Source organism: Homo sapiens, chromosome 5 (assembly GCF_000001405.40).
Source record: "Homo sapiens chromosome 5, GRCh38.p14 Primary Assembly".
Taxonomy (NCBI): Eukaryota; Metazoa; Chordata; class Mammalia; order Primates; family Hominidae; genus Homo; species Homo sapiens.
In genome coordinates this window covers 75076383-75103788 of record NC_000005.10, presented here as the reverse complement: position 1 = coordinate 75103788, position 27406 = coordinate 75076383, and the positions used below count along the sequence as shown (strand labels likewise).

General features: G+C 39.3%; 1 protein-coding gene across 14 annotated transcripts in view; it reads left to right on the top strand.

Annotated features, from left to right (window-relative positions):
- ANKRD31 (ankyrin repeat domain 31) overlaps positions 1-27406 on the top strand; it is a 168582-nt gene that overhangs the window by 133090 nt on the left and 8086 nt on the right. For 11 of the 14 annotated variants that reach the window (NM_001164443.1, NM_001372053.1, XM_017009319.2 and 8 more), the window contains 3 exons: positions 12388-12528; positions 19415-19517; positions 23150-23221. In NM_001164443.1, coding sequence (NP_001157915.1) covers positions 12388-12528; positions 19415-19517; positions 23150-23221 — 316 coding nt within the window. The remainder of the gene's footprint in view (positions 1-12387; positions 12529-19414; positions 19518-23149; positions 23222-27406) is intronic. The other 3 variants (XM_017009318.3, XM_011543300.4, XM_047417078.1) reach the window with 3 other exon arrangements.

Sequence of the window (27406 nt, the reverse complement as noted above, 5' to 3'; positions counted from 1 at the left end):
CCCACTTATAAGTGAGAACATGCAGCGTTTGGTCTTATGTTCTTGCGTTAGTTTGCTGAAGATAATGGCTTCCAGCTCCATTCATGTCTCTGCAGAGGACATGATCTCGTTCCTTTTTATGGCTGCATAGTATTCCATGGTGTATATGCACCACATTTTCTTTATCTGGTCTATCATCAATGGGCATTTGGGTTGATTCCATGTCTTTGCTATTGTGAATAGTGCTGCAGTGAACATACATGTGCATGTATCTTTGTAACAGAATAATTTATATTCCTTTGGGTATATGCCCAGTAATTGGATTGCTGGGGCAAATGGTATTTCTGGTTCTAGATCTTTGAGGAATCGCTACACTGTCTTTCACAATGGTTGAACTAATTTACATTCCCACCAACAGTGTAAAAGCATTCCTATTTATCTGCAACCTCGCCAGCATCAGTTGTTTCTTGACTTTTTAATAATCGCTGTTCTGAGTGGTGTGAGAGGGTATCTCATTGTGGTTTTGATTTGCATTTGTCTAATGATCAGTGATGTTGAGCTTTTTTTCATATCTTTGTTGGCCATATGAATGCCTTCTTTAAACCTGACAAAAACAAGCAATGGGGAAATGATTCCCTATTTAATAAATGGTGCTGAGAGAACTGGCTAGCCATATGCAGAAAATTGAAACTGGACCCCTTCCTTACACCTTATACAAAAATTAACTCAAGATGGATTAAAGGATTGGAGGTTCCAAGATGGCCGAATAGGAACAGCTCCAGTCTACAGCTCCCAGAGTGAGCGACTCAGAAGATGGGTGATTTCTGCATTTCCAACTGAGGTACAGGGTTCATCTCACTGGGGCTTATCGGACAGTGCGTGCAGCCCACAGAGTGTGAGCCGAAACAGGGTGGGGCATCACCTCACCAGGAAAGTGCAAGGGGTCCGGGAATTCCCTTTCCTAGCCAAGGGAAGCCATGGCAGAAGGTACCTGGAAAATCGGGACACTCCCACCCTAATGCTGTGCTTTTCCAGTGGTCTTAGCAAACGGCACACCAGGAGATTATATCCTGCACCTGGCTTGGAGGGTCCCATGCCCACAGAGCCTCACTCACTGCTAACACAGCAGTCTGAGATCAAACTGCAAGGCAGCAGTAAGGCTGAGGGAGTGGCGTCCGCCATTGCTGAGGCTTGAGAAGGTAAACAAAGTGGACGGGAAGCTCGAACTGGGTGGAGGCCACCACAGCTCAAGGAGGCCTTCATGCCTCTGTAGACTCCACCTCTGGGGGCAGGGCATAGCTGAACAAACAGCAGCAGAAACTTCTGCAGACTTAAACGTCCCTGTCTGACAGCTTTGAAGAGAGTAGTGGTTCTTCCAGCATGGAGCTTGAGATCTGAGAATGGACAGACTGCCTCCTCAAGTGGGTCCCTGACCCCTGAGTAGCCTAACTGGGAGGCATCTCCCATTAGGGCCAACTGACACCTCATACTGCTGGGCGCCCCTCTGAGACGAAGCTTCCAGAGGAAGGATCAGGCAGGAACATTTGCTGTTCTGCAGTATTGGCTGCTCTGCAGCCTCTGCTGGTGATACCCAGGCAAACAGGATCTGGAGTGGACCTGCAGCAAACTCCCAACAGACCTGCAGCTGAGGGTCCTGACTGTTAGAAGGAAAACTAACAAACAGAAAGGACATCCACACCAAACCCCCATCTGTATGTCACCATCATCAAAGACCAAAGGTAGATAAAACCACAAAGATGGGGAGAAACCAGAGCAGAAAAGCTGAAAATTCTAAAAATCAGAGCACCTCTTCTCCTCCAAAGGAATGCAGCTCCTCAACAGCAACGGAACAAAGCTGGATGGAAAATGACTTTGACAAGTTGAGAGAAGGCTTCAGACAATCGGTAATAACAGACTTCTCCGAGCTAAAGGAGGATGTTCGAACCCATCGCAAAGAAGCTATAAACCTTGAAAGAAGATTAGACAAATGGCTAACTAGAATAAACAGTGTGGAGAAGACCTTAAATAACCTGATGGAGCTGAAAACCATGGCACGAGAACTACGTGACGCATGCACAAGCTTCAGTAGCCCATTTGATCAACTGGAAAAAAGATATCAGTGATTGAAGATCAAATGAATGAAATGAAGCGAGAGGAGAAGTTTAGAGAAAAAAGAGTAAAAAGAAACGACAAAGCCTCCAAGAACTATGGGACTATATGAAAAGACCAAATCTGCATCTAATTGGTGTATCTGAAAGTGACGGGAGGGAGAATGGAACCAAGTTGGAAAACACTCTTCAGGATATTATCCAGGAGAACTTCCCCAACCTACCAAGGCAGACCAACGTTCAAATTTAAGAAATACAGAGAACACCATAAAGATACTCCTCAAGAAGAGCAACTCCAAGACACATCATTGTCAGATTCACCAAAGTTGAAATGAAGGAAAAAATGTTAAGGGCAGCCACAGAGAAAGGTCAAGTTACCCACAAAGGGAAGCCCATCAGACTAACAGCAGATCTCTTGGCAGAAACTCTACAAGCCAGAAGAGAGTAGGGGCCAATATTCAACATTCTTAAAGAAAAGAATTTTCAACCCAGAATTTCATATCCAGCGAAACTAAGCTTCCTAAGTGAAGGAGAAATAAAATCCTTCACAGACAAGCAAATGCTGAGAGATTTTGTCACCACCAGGCCTGCCTTACAAGAGCTCCTGAAGGAAGCACTAAACATGGAAAGGAACAGCTGGTACCAGCCACTGCAAAAAACATGCCAAACTGTAAAGACCGTCGATGCTAGGAAAAAACTGCATCAACTAACGAGCAAAATAACCAGCTAACATCATAATAACAGGATCAAATTCATACATAACAATATTAACCTTAAATGTAAATGGACTAAATGCTCCAATTAAAAGACACAGAGTGGCAAATTGGATAAAGAGTCAAGACCCATCAGTGTGCTGTATTCAGGAGACCCATCTGATGTGCAGAGACACACATAGGCTCAAAATAAAGGGATGGAGGAAGATCTACCAAGTAAATGGAAGACAGAAAAAAGCAGAGGTTGCAGTCCTAATCTCTGATAAAACAGACTTTAAACCAACAAAGATCAAAAGAGACAAAGAAGGCCATTACGTAATGGTAAAGGGATCAATTCAACAAGAAGAGCTAACTATCCGAAATATATATGCACCCAATACAGGAGCACCCAGATTCATAAAGCAAGTCCTTAGAGACCTACAAAGAGACTTAGACCCCCACACAATAATAATGGGAGACTTTAACACCCCACTGTCAACATTAGACAGATCAACGAGACAGAAAGTTAACAAGGATATGCAGGAATTGAACTCAGCTCTGCACCAAGCAGACCTAATAGGCATCTACAGAACTCTCCACCCCAAATCAACAGAATATACATTCTTCTCAGCACCACGTTGCACTTATTCCAAAATTGACCACATAGTTGGAAGTAAAGCACTCCTCAGCAAATGTAAAAGAATGGAATTTATAACAAACTGTCTCTCAGACCACAGTGCAATCAAACTAGAACTCAGGATTAAGAAACTCACTCAAAACCGCTCAAATACATGGAAACTGAACAACCTGCTCCTGAATGACTACTGGGTACATAACAAAATGAAGGCAGAAATAAAGAAGTTCTTGGAAACCAATGAGAACAGAGACACTACATACCAGAAACTCTGGGACACATTTAAAGCAGTGTGTAGAGGGAAATTTATAGCACTAAATGCCCACAAGAGAAAGCAGGAAAGACCTAAAATTGACACCCTAACATCACAATTAAATGAACTAAAGAAGCAAGAGCAAACAAATTCAAAAGCTAGCAGAAGTCAAGAAATAACTAAGATAAGAGCAGAACTGAGGGAAATAGAGACACAAAAAACCATTCAAAAAATCAATGAATTCAGGAGCTGGTTTTTTGAAAAGATCAACAAAATTGATAGACCGCTAGCAAGACTGATAAAAAAGAAGAGTCAAATAGACGCAATAAAAAATGATCAAGGTTATATCACCACCAATCCCACAGATATACAAACTACCATCAGAGAATACTATAAACACCTATACGCAAATAAACAAGAAAATCTAGAAGAAATGGATAAATTCCTGGACACATACACCCTCCCAAGACTAAACCAGGAAGAAGTTGAATCCCTGAATAGACCAATAACAGGCTCTGAAAATGAAGCAATAATTAATAGCCTACCAACCAAAAAAAGTCCAGGACCAGATGGATTCACAGCTGAGTTCTATCAGAGGTACAAAGAGGAGCTGGTATCATTCCTTCTGAAACTATTCCAATCAATAGAAAAAGAGAGAATCCTCCCTAACTCATTTGATGAGGCCAGCATCATCCTGATACCAAAGCCTGGCAGAGAAACAACAAAAAAAGAGAATTTTAGACCAATATCCCTGATGAACATCGATGCAAAAATCCTCAATAAAATACTGGCAAACTGAATCCAGCAGCACATCAAAAAGCTTATCCACCATGATCAAGTGGGCTTCATCCCTGGGATGCAAGGCTGGTTCAACATACGCAAATCAATAAATGTAATCCATCATATAAACAGAACCAAAGACAAAAACCCCATGATTATCTCAATAGATGCAGAAAAGGCCTGTGACAAAAGTCAACAATACTTCATGCTAAAAACTCCCAATAAACTAGGTATCGATGGGATGTATCTCAAAATAATAAGAGCTATTTATGACAAACCCACAGCCAATATCATACTGAATGGGCAAAAACTGGAAGCATTCCCTTTGAAAACTGGCACAAGACAGGGATGCCCTCTCTCACCACTCCTATTCAACATACTTTTGGAAGTTCTGGCCAGGGCAATCAGGCAGGAGAAAGAAATAAAGGGTATTGAATTAGGAAAAGAGGAAGTCAAATTGTCCCTGTTTGCAGATGACATGATTGTATATTTAGAAAACCCATCATCTCAGCCCAAAATTTCCTTAAGCTGATAAGCAACTTCAGCAAAGTCTCAGGATACAAAATCAATGGGCAAAAATCACAAGCATTTCTATACACCAACAACAGACAAACAGAGAGCCAAATCATGAGTGAACTCCCATTCACAATTGCTTCCAAGAGAATAAAATACCTAGAAATCCAACTTACAAGGGATGTGAAGGACATCTTCAAGGAGAACTACAAACCACTGCTCAACGAAATAAAAGAGGACACAAACAAATGGAAGAACATTCCATGCTCATGGATAGGAAGAATCAATATCGTGAAAATGGCCATACTGCCCAAGGTAATTTATAGATTCAATGCCATCCCCATCAAGCTACCAATGACTTTCTTCACAGAATTGGAAAAAACTACTTGAAAGTTCATATGGAACCAAAAAAGAGCCTGCATCACCAAGACAATCCTAAGCCAAAAGAACAAAGCTGGAGGCATCACGCTACCTGAGTTCAAAGTATACTACAAGGCTACAGTAACCAAAACAGCATGGTACTGGTACCAAAACAGAGATATAGGCCGGGCACGGTGGCTCACGCCTGTAATCCCAGCACTTTGGGAGGCCGAGATGGGTGGAGGTCAAGAGATCGAGACCATCCTGGCTAACACAGTGAAACCCCATCTCTACTAAAAATACAAAAAAATTAGCCGGGCATGGTGGTGGGCGCCTGTAGTCCCAGCTACTCGGGAGGCAGAGCTTGCAGTGAGCCGAGATTGCGCCACTGCACTCCAGCCTGGGCGACACAGTGAGACTGCGTCTCAAAAGAAAAAAAAAAACAGAGATATAGACGACCAATGGAACACAACAGAGCCCTCAGAAATAATACCACACATCTACAACGATCTGATCTTTGACAAACCTGACAAAAACAAGAAATGGGGAAACGATTCCCTATTTAATAAATGGTTCTGGGAAAACTGGCTAGCCATATATAGAAAACTGAAACTGGATCCCTTCCTTACACCTTATACAAAAATTAATTCAAGATGGATTAAAGACTTAAATGTTAGACCTAAAACCATAAAAACCCTAGAAGAAAACCTAGGCAATACCATTCAGGACATAGGCATGGGCAAGGACTTCATGACTAAAACACCAAAAGCAATGGCAACAGAAGCCAAAACTGACAAATGGGATCTAATTAAACTAATGAGCTTCTGCACAGGAAAAGAAACTGCCATCAGAGTGAAGAGGCAACCTACAGAATGGGAGAACATTTTTACAATCTACCCATCTGACAAAGGGCTAATACCCAGACTCTACAAAGAACTTAAACAAATTTACAAGAAAAAATCAACCCCATGAAAAAGTGGGTGAAGGATATGAACAGACACTTCTCAAAGGAAGACATTTATGCAGCCAAAAAAACACATGAAAAAATGCTCATCATCACTGGCCATCAGAGAAATGAAAATCAAAACTACAATGAGATACCATCTCACACCAGTTAGAATGGCAATCATTAAAAAGTCAGGAAACAACAGGTGCTGGAGAGGATGTGGAGAAACAGGAACACCTTTACACTGTTGGTGGCACTGTAAACTAGTTCAACCATCGTGGAAGACAGTGTGGTGATTCCTCAAGGATCTAGAACTAGAAATACCATTTGACCCAGCCATCCCATTACTGGGTATATGCCCAAAGGATTATAAATCATGCTGCTATAAAGACACATGCATATGTATGTTTATTGTGGCACTATTCACAATAGCAAAGACTTGGAACTAACCCAAATGTCCATCAATGATAGACTGGATTAAGAAAATATGGCACATATATACCATGGAATACTATGCAGCCATAAAAAAGATGAGTTCATGTCCTTTGTAGGGACATGGATGAAGCTGTATACCATCATTCTCAGCAAATTATCGCAAGGACAGAAAACCGAACGCTGCATGTTCTCACTCATAGGTGGGAATTGAACAGTGAGAACACTTGAACACAGAGTGGGGAAAATCACACTGGGGCCTGTCATGGGGTGGGGGTGGGGGAAGGGATAGCATTAGGAGATATACCTAATGTAAATGACGAGTTAATGGGTGCAGCACACCAACATGGCACATGTATACATATGTAACGAAACTGCACGTTGTGCACAGGTACCCTAGAACTTAAAGTATAATAAAAAAAAAATTTTTTTAAAGGTGGATTAAAGACTTAAATATAAAAACCCTAGAAGAAAATCTAGGCAATACCACTTGGGGCATAGGCACAGGTAAAGATTTCATGATGAAATCGCCACAAGCAATTGCAACAAAAGCAAAAATTGACAAATGGGATCTAATTAAACTAAAGAGCTTCTGCACAGCAAAAGAAACTATCATTAGAGCGAACAGGCAACCTACAGAACGGGAGAAAAATTTTGCAATCTATCCACCTGACAAAGGTCTAATCCAGAATCTACAAGGAACTTAAACAAATCCTCAAGAAAAAAAACAAATGATCCCATTAAAAAGTGAGCAAAGGACATGGACACTTCTCAAAAGAAGACATTCATGTGGCCAACAAACACACCAAAAAAAGCTCAACATCACTGATCATTAGAGAAATGCAAGTCAAAACCACAATGAGATACCATCTCATTTCAGTCAGAATGACGATTATTAAAGTCAAGAAATAACAGATGCTGGCGAGGTTGCAGAGAAATAGGAATGCTTTTACACTGTTGGTGGGAATGTAAATTATTTCAGTTCTTTAAAAATTTTTAGGCTTATTTTATGGCTTAGCTCATATCCTGAAGAATGTTCCCTGTGCAATTGAGAAGAATATGTATTTTCCTGTTGTTAGGTGAAGTTTTCTATAGACGCCTGTTAAGTCTAATTGGTTTATAGTGCCTTGTTAAAGTCTTCTTTTTCCTCACTGATCTTCTGCCTGTTTGATCTATATAGTAGTGCCCCCTTATATGCAGGAGCTATGTTCCAAGAACCCTAGGGGAAGCCTGAAACCACAGATAGTCCCGAACCCTGTATATACTGTTTTTTTTCTATATATACATACCCATGATAAAGTTTAATTTATAAATTAGGCACAGATTAACAATAATAATAAAAGAAATGATTATAACAGTATGCCAGCATCACTACTCTTTTGCTTTGGGATGTTATTAAATAAAGATTACTCAAACCCAAGCCTTGCAATCTGATAACCTAGATTTCTACCAAGTGACTGATGGGCAGGTAGCATATGCAGTGTGATTACTCTTGACAAAAGGATGATTCACATCCTGGGCAGGATAGAGTGGGACAGTGTGAGATTTCATCACACTCCTCAGAACATTGTGCAATTTAAAACTTGTGAATTGTTTATTTCAGGACTTTTTTTTTTTTGAGACGGAGTCTCGCTCTGTGGCCCAGACTGGAGTGCAGTAGTCTGATCTCCACTCACTGCAAGCTCTGCCTGCCGGGTTCATGCCATTCTCCTGCCTCAGCCTCCTGAGTAGCTGGGACTACAGGCATCCGCCACCACACCTGGATAATTTTTTTTTTTGTATTTTTAGTAGAGACAGGGTTTCACTGTGTTAGCCAGGATGGTCTTGATCTCTTGACCTTGTGATCCACCTGCCTCAGCCTCCCAAAGTGCTGGGATTACAGGCATGAGCCACCATGCCCGGCCAAGAATTTTTTATTTAATATTTTCCAACCACTGTTGACCATGGAAAATGAAATTACAGATAAGGGGACTACCATACGTTATTGAAAGTGGGATATTGAAGTATTTTACTGTTGAACTATTTCTCCCTTCATTTCTGTTAATTTTTATTTCATGTATTTTCATGCTGTTTTGTGTTTTAAGTGCATATATGTTTATAATTGTTATATCTTCCTGATGCATCAAGCCTCTTAGCATTATAAAATGTCCCCCATCATCTCTTGTAACAATTTCTCTTTTAAGATCTAGTTTGTTTGATATTGTATAGCCATTCCAGCTTTCTTGTGGTTGCGGTTTATATGATATACTTTTTCTGTCCTCTTACTTTAAATTTACTTGTCTCTTTGAATCTAAAATCTGTCTCCTATATGCATTATATAGTTGGGTCTTATTTTTTTTAGTCCAGTCTGATAATCTCTGCCTTTTGACTAGGTTGACTAACCCATTGACATTTCATATTGTTATTAATATTGTTGGATTTATGTCTTCTATTTTATTTTTTGTTTCAATATACCTCATATCTTTTTGTTCCTCTATACTTCCTTTATTGCTTTCTTTTGCAATCGGTGAATATTTTCCAATGTAGAATTCTAATTTCTTTAATGACTTTTCATCATATTTTTTGAGTTGTGCTTGCAGTAGCTGCTCTAGGACTCAACATACATTTTCACTTATCAGAATCAGCTTCAGATTCATACTAACTTAATTCCAGTAAAATATAGAAATGTTACTTCTGTAGAGCATTATTCCTTTTCCTTTTTATGATATTATTGTTATACATATTATGTTTATAAATTTATAAACCCAACAATACGTTGATATAATTATTGCTTTGTAAAATTTTGTGACTTTTAAAGAAGCTGATGGAAGAAAGGAAAGCAATACATATTTATAGCTTTTGTTATACCTACCTTCTTATTTATCCTTTCTGGATTGTTACATTTATTTTTGTAGATTTGAGTTACCATGTGGAGTCATTTCCTTAGCCCAATAAAGCTTTGCTCCCACCTACCTCTTTTGTGCTACTGTTGGCAAATATATTACATTTCTATAAGTTATAGGCCCAGCACTAACTTCTGTATCTATTGTTTTTTATAATTGCTTTTCAAAATCTGTTGAGACAAAAAGAGAAGAAATATGCATTTATACTGTCTTTTATAATACATAATTACCTTTACTGGTACTGTATGTTTTTTCATGTGGATTCATATTAGCCTATAGGGTCATTGGCTTTCAACCTGAAGAATTCCTTTATTATTTCTTGTAAGGCAGATCTCTTAGCAACCAATTTTCTCAGTCTCTCAGTTTTTGTTTATCTGGGAATGTCTTTATTTTGCCTTCATTTTTAAAAGATCGTTTTCCTAGATATAGGATTCTTAGTTAATAGTTTTTTCTTTGTACACTTTGAATATGTCATTCCACTGCCTCTGGCCTCCATTGTTTGATAATAACACAGCTGTTAATCTTCTTGAGTTTCCCTTGTAAATGATGAGTTATTTTTCTCCTGCTGCTTTTAATATTTTCTCCTTGTCTTATGACTTTTGATATTTTTACTATGTGTCTGTGGATCTCTGCATTTATCCTACTTGAGTCATTGAGCCTCCTGAATGTGTAGATTAATGCTTTTCAGTAAGTTTGGTAAGTTTTTTTTGTTGTTGTTGTTGTTGTTGTGACACAGTTTTGGTCTTGTTGCCCAGGCTGGAGTGCAGTGGTGCAATCTCAGTTCACTGAAACCTCCACCTCCCAGGTTCAAGCGATTCTCCTGCCTCAGCCTCCCAAGTAGCTGGAATTACAGGAGCTTGCCACCATGCTCAGCTAATTTTTGTATTTTTAGTAGTGACAGGGGTTTCACCACGTTGGCCAGGCTGGTCTCAAACTCCCGACCTTAGGTGACCTGCCTGTCTCAGCCTCCCTAAGTGCTGGAATTGCAGGTGTGAGCCACCGTGCCCGGCCAGTTTGGGAAGTTTTTAGGCATATATTTCTTCAAATATTTTTTCTGCTTCTTTTTCCTCTCCTTCATTATGCATATATTGGTATGCTTAATGGTGTTCCATATTTCTCTGAGACATTTTCATTTTTATTCTCTTTTCTTTGTCTTGCATACTCTGTATCAATATCTTCAAGTTTACTAATTCTTTCTCTTGCCAGTTTAAATCTGTTGAGCCTCTTTGGTAAATGTTTTATTTCAGTTATTTTATTTTCCAACTCCATAACTTCTATTTGGTTCTTTTTAAATAAATTTTTCTTTTTTATTGATATTCTGTATTTGATGTGACCTTGTCATCATTCCTTACTTAATGTCTTTAATTATGGTTTTCTTTAGTTCCTTGAACATATTTATAATGGTTATTTTGAAGTCTTTGTTAAATCCAGTGTCTGGTCACTCTCACAGGCAGTTTCTCTTGTCTGTTTTTTTTCCCAGTGTGTGTGTCATACTTTGCTGTTTCTTTGTATGTCTCATAACTTTTTGTTGGAACTGGACATTTTAGACAATGCATTGTAGCAACTCTACCCCACCTTCTCTTGGACTTCTTATTGCTATTTGCTTGTTTGTTTAATTACTGGCTAGATTGTTTTAGTGAAGTCCCCACTTCAGTGCTAAACTTCCAATGTTGAGCCTCAGGGACTAAAGCCTTGGCCACCTCTTTCCCTGACCTCCCTGACCACCCATGGCTCTTAAGCTCCACTTACTGCCCATTGACTGTTTTATTGTTTTCAACAATGTCCTAGGGGGACAAATTGCTCTACAGACTAATCCAAGCAAAGGTGGGCTCCTTTGAAGGGATAGTTCCCAAGGTCAGTGTTTGAAGTTTATTATGAACCTAGGAAGGCTCCTGCCAGCTCTTTTCCCAGTTGTCTCTTACAAACTCGCCTGCCTACAGCTTAGCCTACATCTCAAATGAATCTACCAGTCTACTCACAATTGCCTTTTACCACAACTTCTACTATTTCTGATAGTGCCCTTGAGCTTGAACTTCTTCATGCTCTGTTGCAAATGAAGTTAGTTCCTTCGGGAGGAGATTAGGAGCTATCTGTTCTAAGCCTTGCTTCTCTTCTCAGGCAGAATCCCTGAGCCATGGCCCTGGAGCTGAGGGTGGGGCCAAAGGTGATTTTTCAAGTGATACTCTTGCTTTAGGAGCTGAGCATTCGGTGGAGGGGAGGCAGTAGCTTCATGTGTTTTCCGTTTGCCTCTCCCAATGTGAAACCACCACCTTACAAGCCAAGGCAAGGGTGATTGGGATCCCAGCATTCTCCGTGGTGCCGTGCCAAAGGTGGAGCCTCTGTCTCACCACTCAGAGCTGGGCAGGAGAAGGGAGCCTCTACCCTTTGGTTATAGCTGCTGGCAACTTAGCCTTAGCAACAGTAGCTGGGGGCAGGATGAGAAATGCTGAAGTTATGCCCCTCCCAGGAAGACAGCCCTGTAACAGGGAGCCCTGTAGTCTTGACTACAGCAATCTAGAGTGGAGTCTCCACTTCACAGAGCTGGGAGTGGGGAGGGAGGATGCAGTCTTGGTTCAAATACCATAGACTCTCACCTTTTTAATCTGATTTTTGTAGATTTTGTTGACTAGATGGTTCATCATTTGCTGCATGCCCTTATGACCATTTCTAGATACATTAAATTTATATACAAAAATACATCAGGTGTTAGGGTATATGTGGTCCCTGTTACTTTGTCATGGCCAGAAGCAAAAATTCACATATTTCAGCTATTTTTGACCTTAATTTCTGTTTTATTTTTCACTTCAGGAGACTACCCACAAAGCCAGTATTTTATTGAATGGTAAACTTAAGGTAGAAAGTGGTCAGATTTATAAAAACCCAGTCACCTGGCTCAAGGATCTTCTGGGAGGCAACAGTTATGTGACCTGGAATTATGCTTGGAGTAAGGTGGGTCATTCTTAAGTTTATCTTTAACTTCATATTCAAATGGAAAAGTACATATTTTTGTGATGAAAGTATTTTTTAAGGAAATCTGAAAGATCTCCAAGCTAGTTTTGTATTCATGTGTTCATTCTGTATATGCTGTATGCATATCATGCTACATGCATGTCACAGAATGAACACATCACTTTCTCCCACAAGTCCTATTTGCCAGAATTCCCCATGGGCATGGTTGCATAGCTGACTGCACCTTCCGTTTCTTACTCCTTATCTAGTCTCAGAACTTTTAATGCCTTTAATCTTCCCATTTGATCTCCCAAGGGATTTCAGGTCTTTGTATGGAAAATTTGGAACCACTGGTGTATTGGTAACTTAGTTAATATGTTATTATTCTAATGAAGTAAAGCAAAATCTCCTAAATACAAAAGAAATGGGCAAGAGGCCTAAGGCCCTCAGATATTATCATGTATTTTTATGTTTGAACATGTCCTTATCCATGAATTGCTAGCCCTTCAAAATGAATTACTTTCATTTAGACCTCCTAGACTTAGTAGCCTCCCTGTCAGTTCTGGCTTCTGAGTTATAAGCCCAGTAATGACTGATGTTCTTGAGGTCTAGTGTTCATCCACCTGCAGACTTCAGGGACAGTCTTAAAATTATTCTTCAGGAAAGTCTGAATCTTCAGACATCTGCCATGACTGTTTCGAAGACTAGAAGATACACTCAACCTCTACTATTACAGTAAACCTCAGTGTACCAGTAATAGGAAGCATAGCTTTCTCTCCTCTTTTTTGTTTAACCCAGGTCTGCCCACTCTCCCTCCCAGTCCCCTTTGTGCCCCTAAAGTCTATATTCTGTGTCCCAGATTCTGTGCCCCAACCCTGCATTCTGGTCTCCTAGACCTCGTTGGCAAGTGTATCTAGCACTGTTTCAGTTCCTTCACTTACATCAGCACATTCTGGATTCTATCTGCTATATGGTCTGTCTGACTTTTTCCCAAAGTTTGTTTTGGTTTCCCACTCCTGGAGTCACCAGGCCATCTGCTTTCAGTTCGTCTTAGCCCCTTTACCCTATCCTTTCCATGGATTCTTAATTCATATCTAAATGTTAGTAATTAGCATCTTGCCCATGAAAATCCCTTTTTGTTACAAGGTTTCTTACACTTATGATAGATTATACTGTTTTGCTGAAACTGAATCTTAGCTCACAGGACAGATAGCATACTGAATGCTGTAGCTTAGGTTCTTTTGAGCTCAACATGCCTGTGCTGCAGTGTGCCTGGTAATGACTCCATTTGCCCACTCTGTTTCTCCATTAGAACTACTGTTATTTCCTGCCTTTGAATAGCTGGCTGTAACATCATTTGGCCCTTACTCTGTACTAATGCCTCATTTACATATCTCATTGACTCTAGCATTTTCTCATAGCCATGTCAATTAGAGTTACACTGTTTAGCACCTATGTGATAGTGAAGCCACATGCAAATGTGGGCACTAAAAGTAGGGCAATTATCAGATATAAAATATTCCTACAGATTATCTAAACAGGCTTATTTTCTTTAGATTATCAAAAAAATGAAAACGGAGTTTTAAAAATTACTATGGGCACTGATGTACTTCTAGTAAATACCCCAAGCTGAGAAACATTACCCTAGTGATTTTCTTTACAATATTTAAAAGGCTCTTTTAAAGTCTTTTAAAGTTTACCACAGAAACCTCTGCCTCTTCTTGTCTTGGAGTAACTCCTGAATTCAGTCACTTCTTGAGGAAAGGAGCTTTTTGCTACATGGGTAAATGTGAACATTTCTACTGACTAGTTCTGAGAGTGGTGGGGGTGGTATGGGACCAGGAGTGGTTGGTGGTCAGGCAAGGAATGCCAGAAAACAAGGTATTGCCCTGTATCTGACAGAGTGACAGAGCCAGTAGGTGCAGAGATGACTCAAACTCCCAACCCAAGCAGTTGCTGAACAGCTTTGCCAAGGAAATCCTGATGCTTACTCAGAGAGGGCATCACTGACTTCTCTCCTGCAGCCTCCCAGCTGTTGGACAACATTCTGGTGTGGCCGAGTGATTTGTGGGTGGGAGGCAGCAGACCAAGCTAGTTCCTGGTTCCACTCTTTATAAGTTATATTATCTGGGCAATGGTTTTCGATCACATTGGAATCACTTGAGGGCCTTTAGAAACCACTAGTGCCTAGTAGACTCCAAGCCCATAACTTCTGATCTAATATCTAGGTGGGGATCAAGTGGCAATATTTGAAAAAGCATTCCAGGCAATTCTAATGTGCAGCCTCAGTAAGAATGATTAATCTAGGTCAAGCCATTTCACCTTTCTGAACTTCAGCTTTCTTATGTATAAAATAAGTAGTGCTAGGTGATATCTAAAGACCCTTCCAACGTAGCGATTGTGGAGCTTGAATAGCACTGTTTGATTTATAAAGCAGTTTTACGCAACAACTTTATCAGGCAGGAAGATCAACTATTATTTCTGTTCATGGATATGAAAACAAAGGTTTGGGAAGTTAAGTGACCTGATTTAGCCTCAAGGCCAGCCAGAACCAGGACTAGAACCTGATCTTCTGATTCCCTGTACATTCTTTTCTGTATTTATGAAGGCACAAGAGAGGCACACGTTCCTTTCATTAGAAACAGGTTGCTCTGAACTCAAAAGAGCACACAGTACAATCTAGCCACCTTTATGAATGTATGCAAAGCCTTAGTCATGTGCAGCAACTATTGCCCACTTCCACAGGAAAAATGCCTTTCTGTGATACAGTTGCAGGATGAAAATCATAAGAATCATAAGAATGGAAATGATGGTTTATTTTTGTAAATACTCAACAGTGAATTACTGCAGATGAAAAGTAGGCTGCTATTTTAGGCAGTGCTTCAAGGAACACTAGACAGATCTCTTCTGCAAACATACTTCCCATCCGGATGCCTCCCTGAATTTCCATCCTTATTTCCACCCTTTCCATTCCTTTGGATTTAGTGATCACTTTTTTCTGTGGTTCCCCTCACCCCCCACACATACTTTTCAAGAACAACTCCTCTCACCATCATGATTAGGAATATCAAGATATGGAAAGGTTGGGGTGGGAGCATAGAAACTGATGGAAATTGTTCATCTCGACAGACAGCCTTATTCTGTCAATTACTCACACTCTCAATGTGTCCTAAACCTCCTATGAACCTAGCTTCTACTCAGCTACATTTTAGAACAGAAAGAAGAGGAAGGAGATGGTTAGATATGTGATCTCTTTTAAAATACAAATATCCAGGAGTTTTGGATCCTGAAAATAGAAATAATGTGAAGGGCTTTCTCTTGCGTCTAGCTACATAGAGTGTTGGGAGTATGAAAAAAGAGTCTGGAATGGGGAGGTTGGTACCATGAAGGTGAGCTTTACCTGCATCATCATTTCCATAGAAACAGCTCTTCCAAGGCAGTTTTTGCACTTTGAAACTACTTTCTGTCTTATATTATGAATTCCTAAAGAAATATTTTATTTGAGAAATATTTTTATTTTCTTAGCCACAATGTATTTTGTGTTACAATGAATTTAAAAGAAAACCTACAGTTTTTTATTGGTTTCTTTGCTTTTTCCACCCTGAGATAAAAAGCAATTATTCTTTCTTCCTTCTACTCCTCTTGGAGCAGTGAAACTTTGTAAGATTGACTTCTTAAAACTTGCAATGGAATAAAAGTAGTTATTTGATCATCCATGAACAGATTTCTTTTCTTTCTTTTTTTTTTTCTTTTTGAGCCAGAGTCTCGCTGTCTTGCCCAGGCCGGAGTGCAGTGGCCTGATCTCAGCTCGCTGCAGCGTCTGCCTCATAGGTTCAAGTGATTCTCTTGCCTCAGCCTCACAAGTAGCTGGGACTACAGGCATGCACCACCATGCCTGGCTAATTTTTGTATTTTTAGTAGAGACGGGGTTTCACCATGTTGACCAGGCTCAAACTCCTGACCTCAGGGGATCCCCCCACATCGGCCTCCCAAAGTGCTGGGGTTACAGGTATGAGTCACCATGCCTGGCCATCCACGAACAGATTTCTATTAGTCAATACCAACAAATGGTTTTTCTGAAGATATATGAAAAATGGGATGATACTTTCAAATAAAATGGAGTCCCAGAAGGGAAGTATATGCAAAGGTGGGTTATGTTTCATTCTTTTTTGATGCATATTATTACATAAGATGTACAGAAATATTTATTATGGCAATTAATAATGACAATACTGCACTTTATTTCTTCCAAAGACCTTACCAAAATAAAGTTAATTAATAATTTCACTTGGCTCATTAACTACATTTCCAGAATACTGGCTGGCTGAGTCATCTATTTTCCTCAAACATGCATGTGTGTGTGTATGCACATGCGTGCACACGTGCGCGTACACACACACATTCTACACTCCCTACTTTTTCCCTAGTATGATATTGGAGAATCAGCATAGACTAATTTCTAAGGAATAATGGAGTGTTGTAAGAGCTTCAGGGAAAGCATCAGTGGCCTTAGGACAAAACACCCCTCCAGTTCTACCTTTTAGCAAAGCAAGAACACAACAACCTACAGATATCCTCACCGAACATGCCTTACACTAAGCTCCATCTCTCTTACATGTTCTCATCTGGCATCCTATCAGCTGCCCTTCATCAAAATGGGTTTTGGACAGTGAAGTTGCTGAGATCACTGGAGGCTATGTTGTCCAAAAGCCTGAGAACTTAGCCTCCAGCTCTTCCTACCATGCCTCTGTCAGAGTAGGCATATGAGCTAGATTTGAATCCAGAGAAATTTAGTTCAGGATTCAGAGTTTGAGTCATACACAAATGTAATGACTGCCCTTATGCTTTAGCCAACTGGAGGTTTTTCATGACATTAATATGAAATGCACATTTTCTAGAAGTGATCTAGTGTCTGTTCATTCTGAGGTCTATTCATTAACCTGTTCAATAAATCACTCCTACCTAATGGAAAATAGATTTTTAACTCAGTGGATATTCTTAAAACTCTGTTCTTTGTCTGAATTACCTGCAGTGGAATATGTAAGTCACCTTATATTGCCCAGCACTAACTAATAAAAATATTTTTAAAGTCTGAGATATAGGTGAGAACATACTGAGCCTGCACTTTGATGGATTTATGAGATGTGTTGGACATTGTCAGGGCATAACACATACAAAATCTATTGTTTCCAATAACTGGTTGTTTGGAGAACTGACAAATGGCATTCAGGGGCCTCTCCTCTACTTTCTATGGCAAGTGAGAAGGGATTGACACATTGAGTAGGCCAGGTCTGTTCCATTTTCATTGCCAGGCTTTGTTTGGTCATAGGATTGAGTCCAAAGGGTATCTGTACCTTTAAGATCCCCTAGACCTTTCTCACTCTGTTCAATTTAACATTTATTGAGTACTCGGAATGTGCTAGACAGTATGCCAGATGCTTTTCATGCATTATCTCTTTTAATCCTCATAACAATTTAATAAGCTGGAGGCACTTTTTTTACAAACACAAATTGAGGCTTAGGGAATTTGAGAATCTTGCTTAAGAGTTGGGACTTCACAGCCAGGCACGGTGGCTCACACCTGTAATCCCAGCACTTTGGGAGGCCAAGGCAGGTGGATCATTTGAGGTCAGGAGTTCGAGACCACCCTGGCCAACATGGCAAAACCCTGTATCTACTAAAAATACAAAAATTAGCCAGGCGTGGTGGCGCACACTTGTAATTCCAGCTACTAGGGAGGCTAAGGCATGGGAGGCTGAGGCATGGGAGGCTGAGGCATGAGAATTGCTTGAACTCAGGAGGTGGAGGTTGCAGTGAGCCAAGATCATGCCAGTGTGCTGCTCCAGCCTGGGTGACAGAGTAAGACTCTCTCAAAAAAAAAAAATTAAAAGAAAAGAAAAGGAGCCGGGACTTCAGAGTCTTTTATCCAGTATCGTCAGGCACTCTGTGAACTGCTGAGGGTATTTGAATGAATATGATATAGACCTGTCCTCAAGGAGCTTATGGTTTAATAGAAACAGATGTATTAAAACATAATTTCATTTATATGAGGTAAGTACCATGACAGAAATATGAGTAAAGAAGCTTTGGGAACCTAGAGGAGGATCATTCCTTGAAACTAGAGGTTATAGGGAGGCATCCTGGAGGAAGGGATGTTCAAGTTGAATCTTGATGCTTTGCCCACAGTGAACTAACCTCTGGAGGTATGTTAATAGATTGTCCTCAAGCTAAGAGTAAAGAACCCAAAGACCCTTGGGCCCAGAACATTTCTGGCAGAATTTACCAGTTCTGCCTCATCCCTGCCTTTTTGTGTGTAGATATTTCTAAGCTCTGACCATTTGCACTGATAATGATATAGCTAAGTTCACAAACAACCAAAAAAAATGGATGTCTAGACCTGAAATGTTATTAATTTAATCAGTTAAATATGTGATTTCTTGAAAAGTACCATTACTTTTATAGCTTAATTTTATTAATGTAACATTAAATTTTTAAAGTTATAAAGTAGCAGATGCTGGATTAATAGTTGTTGAATAAGTGAATAGGTGAGTGAATTAATATCACACAACAAGGGTCAACACATTTTTTTCTGTAAAAGGTCACATAGTAAATATTTTGGGCTTCATGGACGTGTGGTCTGTGTCAATTATGTTATAGCATGAAAGCAGCCATAGATGTTAAGTAAATGAATGAGCATCACTGTTTTCCAATAAAACATTATTTACAGAAAAGAAGGTTGCAGGTGGGATTTGGCCATGGACTGAAGCTTGCTAATCCACAACATACAACAATCAAAACCTTATAAAAATTACAATGTTCAGGACATAGGTGTATTTCCTTCTTACAGAATGTATGATTTATAAATTTTGTGCTTAATTATGTGCAGGTAACGTATCTTGGGAAGGAGCTTTTAAGGTATGTTTCTGAGGATGCACCCATACTTCCAGAACCAAACTCAGTACCTCAGCAATATCAACCTTGTCTTCCAGGTATGTACAGAACAACACTCATTTCTTCGTTGTGGGATAAAACACCAAAACCTACTGGAAAAGCACTCATTTTATTTTGTCTTTTTTCTCATTGATGTGAAATTAACAATCATTATAATTAACTATTTCAAGGTGAACAATTCAGTGGCATTTAGTAAATTCACAATGTCGTGCAACCACCCACCTCTATATAATTCTAAAACACTTTGATCACCCCAAAAAGAAACCCTGTACCCACTCAGCTGTTGTTTCCCATTCTCTGCTCCTCCCGATTTCTGGAAACCACCAGTCTGCTATCTGTCTGTATGGATTTACTTATTCTGAATATATCATATAAATGAAATCAATATATGTGACCCTTTTTGTCTGACTTCTTTCACTTAGTATAATGTTTTTGAGGATCATCTACATCATAGCATGTATCCATACTTCATTCCTTTTTGTGACTGAATAATATTCCATTATATGGATTTACCATAATTTGTCCACTCATCCTTTGATGGGCATTAGGGTGCTTCCCCCCCAACTTTTTTTTTTTTTGAGACGAGAGTTTTGCCCTTGTTGCCCAAGCTGGAGTGCAATGGCACAATCTCAGCTCACTGCAACCTCTGCCTCCTGGGTTCAAGTGATTCTTCTGCCTCAGCCTCCCGAGTAGCTGGGATTACAGGTGCACACTACCAGGCCCGGCTAATTTTTTGTAGTTTTAGTGGAGACGGGGTTTCACCATGTTAGCCAGGCTGGTCTCAAATTCCTGACCTCAGGTGATCTGCCCGCCTCAGCCTCCCAAAGTGCTGGGATTACAGGTGTGAGCCACCATGCCTGGCCTGGCCTGCTTTCCCCTTTTTAGCTATTAGAGATAGTGCTGCTATGAATAGACATATGTATATTTGTTTGAGCACCTGGTTTCAATTCTTTTAGGTGTGTGCCTAGGAGTGGAATTATTATACAGGTTGAACATCCTTAATTCAAAAATCCGAAATCTGAAATCTCAGAATCTGAAATTTTTTCAGTGCTGACATGCTAGTACAAGTGGAAAATTCCACACCTGACCTCACGTGACAAGTCACAGTCAAAACTTTGTTTCATGTACAAAATTATTAAAAAGATTGGATCAAATTACCTTCAGGATTTGTGTTTAGGTGTATATGAAACATAAATGAATTTCATGTTTAGACTTGGGCCAATCCCCAAGATATCTCATGTATATGCAAATATTCCAAAATTTGAAAAAATCTAAAATCCAAAATACTTCTGGTCCCAAGCATTTTGGACTAAGGATACTCAATATTTATTACATAGTAATTCTATGTAGGAAGCACAGCGAATCTGTTTTCCATAGCAACTGAATCATTTTGCATTCCCAGCAGGAATGTACAAGGGTTCCAGTTTTTCTGCATCTCTGCAATACTTGTTATTTTCTGTTTGTTTTATAGCACTCAATTTTTAACCTTAGTTAATTCTAGCAGAATTTAAGAAATTACCCCATCCCTCACAATTCCTTTCTCTGAATCTATGCTGTACTTACTTTGGATAGATTTTTAAGTATCATATAAAAGGAAAAAATGAGTGTTGTTTTTCTTTCTGAAGACATGATTTGGTTTTGTTTATTTTCTAAAAATAAGCATTAAAATAAATCTTTGCTTATTAGAGTAAACTAATACCCTTTATCAGATGGAATAGCCTTTAGCCTGAGTAAACTAAAGAGAATGTAGTCTTCACCAGTGAGCAGCAGATTTTGAAATGATCTGGAAAAAGGCAGCACACATTTCTGAATAACAGCCATAACTACAGTTATATTACCCTCCTATGCTACAGCATCCCCTCTTTTTTTTCCTAGTGTCCCTGTCTTTGACCATTTGGGGACAATACAGAAGAGAGGAGGTACAAAACAAAAAATGATGATACTGTGATAACCAGGGCCAAGAATTAAACAGGGTTTCTATCACCAAGTCCCTACCCAGGGCCTCCCTGGGACTGTTCCTTTCCTATAACAAGCCCCAATAATTCAAACTACATTCCTTTCCTAACTTTTGCACCCTAATTTCTCAGGATCCTCCTCTGTCATAAAAACTGGCTCCATTAATAGGGTGCATTCTCCACAGTTTTCTGAAGATAGCCTCAAAAGTGTTTTTCATCATTTTTGGGAAACAGATAACATTAATAACTGGTAATATTAATAACTGGTAACATTAAAACAGGTAACATTAATAACTGTGGGGAAGTTAAAGGGCTTAAGAAATTGAAAAGAGTTCTTGTAGTAGTTCATGGCCTTTGGTTCCTAAGCTGACTACCTATCTAATCTACCTAATCAAATCATGGGGTAAGGCCCAGTAACCTGAATTTTTTAAAGTGACTCTTACACAGCCAGCCTGACTATAGACTTTGGATGACTAATAGTATTTGATTTCTTGTGCAAATAATAATTTGACAGTCCTTGATATTCACCCCTTTACTTTGATTCCTGAGGGTGGAATTGGAATTGCTAAAGTACTCTATCCTCTCTCTCTCTCTCCGCCCCCGTTGCTCCATCCCTTTCTCTCTCTCTCTCTCTCTGTCTCTCTCTCTCTCTCTGTCTCTCTCTCTCTCTGCCTCCTCCCCACCACCCACCCCAAACACACACTTGAAGGAAAACCAAACAAATGCTTTCTTCTTCTGGTTTCTAACCTAAGAGTTGAAGCAGAGCAGTAAGTATTTCCTTCTATCATGAAGGTCATCTGTTCCTCAGATTTTCTAGTTCTAGGCAGGCATTTCCAACCCTAGATAGGTATCTCCTTCCTCAGAGGGCACACAATCTCCCTTTTAAGTGAGCATGAAGTCAGAAATGGGTTCTGAACTGCTATTTCTGTTGCCTGTAATATAAACAGTTTCCTGTTATTTATTTATTTTCACAAATCCTGATTTTTCTTTCCATTAGATATTTCAGAAAATTTTTATGTTACTGCGCCATTGGACTCCAGCCTGGGTGACAAGAGCGAAGCTCTGTCTTAAAAAAAAAAAGAAAAGGAAATTTTAATGTTAATTTAAGAACCATGGAGGTAGCAGTGTGCCAACCAGCTTCTTGCTACCTTGGTCTGGACCTAAGAATCTATAGGCAGAGCCCTGCTGGCATTCTGTAGGCTGCTGTTGGAATTTTGTCTGAATCTCCTTAATTAGAATTCTTCTGTAGCTGGTTTTGTGGTACCTGACAGAAACCCAGAGACCTGGCAAGTTAGGACAATGCAAAACTCTCTAACCCTATTACAAGAAAAACTCTCAGGAGAGAATCTTTCTCCCTCTTCTGCATATCGAAATATCATCATGGAAATCATGGCTCTGACACTGTAGAGACCAGAAAGTCTAAAAAAAAAAAATAATTTTGTGTGGCTTTCATCAGCCTACCTCAGGTCACAAACATAATCTGTTCTCTTATGCTTTTTGATGACCATACTTTTTAGAATACTGTTTTTGGGGAAATAAGGGGAAGTAGGAAGAGCCATTTTTAGTTTATTATTTTATTTTTTAAATCATCTCTCCTAAAATGTCAAGGAAGAGCTATTTGTATTTCCCATCGGTAGGGTGACCATCATCCTGATTTGACCAGAGCAGTCCCCTAATTCAGCAAAATTATTACTAACGTTTTGTTTCACTTTCAGAAGTTGCTTGTTTAGATGACCCAGTACAGGAACCAAACAAATCAATGTTTGAGAAAACAAAATTTGGACAAGGTAAAAAAAAAAGAAAATATTCAATTCCATTTACTTTTATAAGTGTTTAGATTCTACATATTGTGCAAATAGATCAAATAGATTGTCAAATATTATGCATATCACTCCATATTATAAATAATTGCTGGTTACATCATCTTTATTTCCTGATAGACTAAGAAGATCTTTGATTTCAGAGAACTTTTATGAACTCTTACTTCTTATATTCTTCAATGCCTGGCACACCATAGCTTTCCAATAAATGCTCATTGAATAAATAAATGAATGAATAAGTAAATGAAAGCATGAACGTGATTTAAAAGATTGCTGTTTTAAAACTGGATTTACTTTGATTGTCTTAAGAGGTGGACATACCTAGATCTTATAGGCTATAATGGAATTTGTGGTGAAGAATTTAACAAATGGTAAATGGGATTTTGGTTAGTTAATACTATCTCCTTTATCTGAACTTACTGTTTCTTTTTTTTTTTTAGACAGAATCTCGCTCTGTCACACAGGCTGGAGTGTGGTGGCACGATCTCGGCTCATTGCAGCCTCGATCTCCCAGGCTCAAGTGATCCTCCTGCCTCAGCCTCCTAAGTAGCTGGGAGTGCAGGCATATGCCACCATGCCCAGCTAATTTTTTTTTGTAGAGAGGGAGTTTCACCATGTTGCCCAGGCTGGTCTCGAACTCCTGAGTTCAAGTGATCTGCCCACCTCAGCCTCACAAAGTTCTGGGATTACAGGCATGCACCACCATGCCCAGACCTGAATTTACTGCTTCTAATTGTGGGATATAAGAGGGATGGCCTTGGCCGGGCGCAGTTGCTCATGCTTGTAATCCCAGCACTTTGGGAGGCCAAGGTGGGTGGATCACCTGTGGTCAGGAGCTGAAGACCAGCCTGGCCAACATGATGAAACCCCATCTCTACTAAAAATACAAAAAATTAGCCAGGCATGGTGGCAGATGCCTGTAATCCCAGCTACCCAGCAGGTTGAGGCAGGAGAATTGCTTGAATCCGAGAGGCGGAGGTTGCAGTAAGCTGAGATCATGCCACTGCACTGCACTCCAGCCTGGTCAACAAGAGCAAAGAGCAAAACTCTGTCTCAAAAAAAAAAAAAAGAGTGGTGGCTTTCACATTTTCTCAGCCAGAAATTTAAAAGCGAATTCTCCCTCTCCCTCTTTATGAGAAATCATAAAGAATTCTATTTAAATTTGTTAATCAGTATTTCCTAAACTTATTGAATTAGAGGATATCTGTTCACATTCAATAGAACAAATAGCAGAAGCCTCAATATCCAATCTGTTTACATATCATTTCGGATACATGGTATCAAGAAAATCCTGAATCATGAAGACAAATGATAAAAATTTTTAATCTTGCCATCTTACAACTTTCTTCAGTGAATCAGAGATGATGGAAAAGCTTTATTCTGAATTGTATACAAAAACTAATTAAATTGGTAACTCAAGTCAATGCATTGATGGACTCCAGAGTGTTAAAATGTGGTATATTAACACATTTGAAGGTATGTGTTCTTTCTAATTAAAGACTTGAAACATAAAAACACAAACCTTTAAAAATGAAATTCTGTTGATGAAATATTGATGAAAACTGTGAACCATCCATGATCTCTACAAGTCCTTTTAAGTTTTAAAATGGAGTGAGTCTATGGGGCATTTTCCCTTGAAATTTCAAAACTTCCTCCCAAGCCTCTCGCCTTTTTGCCTATTTGGCTATTGTTCCTCTTCTGTGTTATTGAGGGAATCCTCACTGATATTTCAGTATAAACTGGAAGGGAAAAAAATAAGCATTTCCAAATTTCTACATTATTTGTTATCACTAGGTATGGATGTATTGACATATTTTTCACAAAGTTATTTCTTTTTTAATTCTGTTAAGATAGATCACGTTTCATTATTTACCAGGAAAACCAATTTTATATATTTATGTTTCCTGTCACCATAGTACCAAGATACTCAAAACACATTAAGCTAAGTGTATTCATCTAAGCAAAAAAATAAAAGTATCACCTGAAGTCTTTTATTTCCCAAGCCATCATTATAATAATTTACTAAATATATTTTCTTTCATGGGGACCTAACATCATTTGTTCATTTGAAAATAGCACATGCTTTTCCAGAAAAAAATAGGCTATTTTTTTGTTCCTAATAAAATGGTCCGTTAGATAAAACGGTCCTACTGATAATCTGTTGTAAATAAATGACTTTAATGATGGAGTTTTCTTCATTTCAGTTCTATTATCATGCTTTGTCATTTCTCTGTAGAAGTATACATAATAGAACACAAACATCCACAGGTGCTTCTGTTTTATGTGGTTAAGCGCTTTTTAAACCTCGAACACCCAAAGATGGGTACCTGATAACAGTGCATAGGGTGTTTATTTCAGCTCTTATTTACCACTCTCGATTCTTTTTCATTTTTTTAATCTTAATTTTTTTCACTCTGGTATCATGATTAACACTCTTTTAACCTAACTCATAAGGTAGATAATATATCTACCTACAGGAAAGGAAAGAGAAGAAAATTAAATATTTGTTGATTGTCTGCCATGTGGCAGGCCCTCTGCTATGTTATTTTGTATACATTAGACCACTTAAGAACTTCTATTTTTTTTTTTTTTTTTTTTTTTTTGAGACGGAGTCTCGCTCTTTCGCCCAGGCCAGAGTGCAGTGGCGCTATCTCGGCTCACTGCAACCTCCGCCTCCCGCCTCCCGGGTTCATGCCACTCTCCTGCCTCAGCCTCCCGAGTAGCTGGGACTACAGGCACCTGCCACCACGCCCAGCTAATTTTTCGTATTTTTAGTAGAGACGGGGTTTCACTGTGTTAGCCAGGATGGTCTCGATCTCCTGACCTCATGATCTGCCCACCTCGGCCTCCCAAAGTGCTGGGATTACAGGCATGAGCCACCGCGCCCGGCCAAGAACTTCTTTTTAGTAGAATTTCAGGGTTCGTTTTTGTACAACCAAATACACAAAAAAACCTGAACACTTTATATATAAAAATCAAGTACCTCAGACCCAATTCAGGTTAATAAACCACCTATAAGATTTTAATTCCCCCCCCAAAGAGTGAGGGCTTAAATAGTTTTAAACTTCTAAATAATTATACTTCAGGTTTATTTCTTGATTTTAGTAGTTTTTCAGGTGGCTTTTAATCTTATTAATGTAAATCTATATCACATTATTAATTTAGGCCAGGTGCAGTGACTCATGCCTGTGTTCCGAGCACTTTGGGAGGCCAAGGCAGGAGGACTGCTTGGGGCCAGGGGTTTGAGACCAGCCTGGACAACAAAGTGAGACCCGGTCTCTATTTTAAAAATGGAAAAATTGGCTGGGCATGGTGGGGCATGTCTGTGGTCCTAGCTACTTGGGAGGCTGAGGCAGGAGAATCGCTTGAGCCCAGGAGTTTGAGGTTACAGTGAGCTATGGTCACGCCATTGCATTTCAGCCTGGGTAAAAACAACAAAAAATTATTAATTTGGTTTTAAATAGCAAATTATGTAATACTCCATCACCATATTTAGCTTTTAGGATCCTTTTATTTTTAAAAAAGGCATTGAACTTTATATTAAAATAACAATAATAGAATATTTTCCCAATATAACTAGAGCATATGTATTTTTACTACCTATTGAGATAATTGTTAATCATTTTGTTTTTGATTAGAATTATATTTCTGATCCAGAATTGTGATATGATAGAAAGATATGTGGTCTTTGTCGCTAATTCCTGCCACAGTGCTTCTAAAACTCTTGGAATTTTCCAAGTGATAAGAGTGATATAGGCATCTTTTGTTCTAATGAGACGACTCTTGGCTGTCCCCTAGATAGCATCAGGATGAGGGCTGGTCATCAGAAAGACCAAGCCTTGATTAGAAGCTTGGAACTTTCAGCTCCACACTTCAACCTCTCAGGAGGAGAGAGGGGCTAAAGATTTAGTTAATCACCAGTTACCAATGATTTAATCAATCATGCCTACTTAATGAAACCTCCATTAAAAACCACTAAATGACGGGGCTCAGAGAACTTCTGGGTTGGTGAACACATCAGGGTGCTGGGAGAGTGGCATGCCCAGAGATCGCATGGATGCTCCTTGTCCTATGCATCTCTTCCATTTGGCTGTTCCTGAGTTGTATCTTCTATAATAAACCAGTAACCGGAAGTAAAGTGCTTTCCTGAGT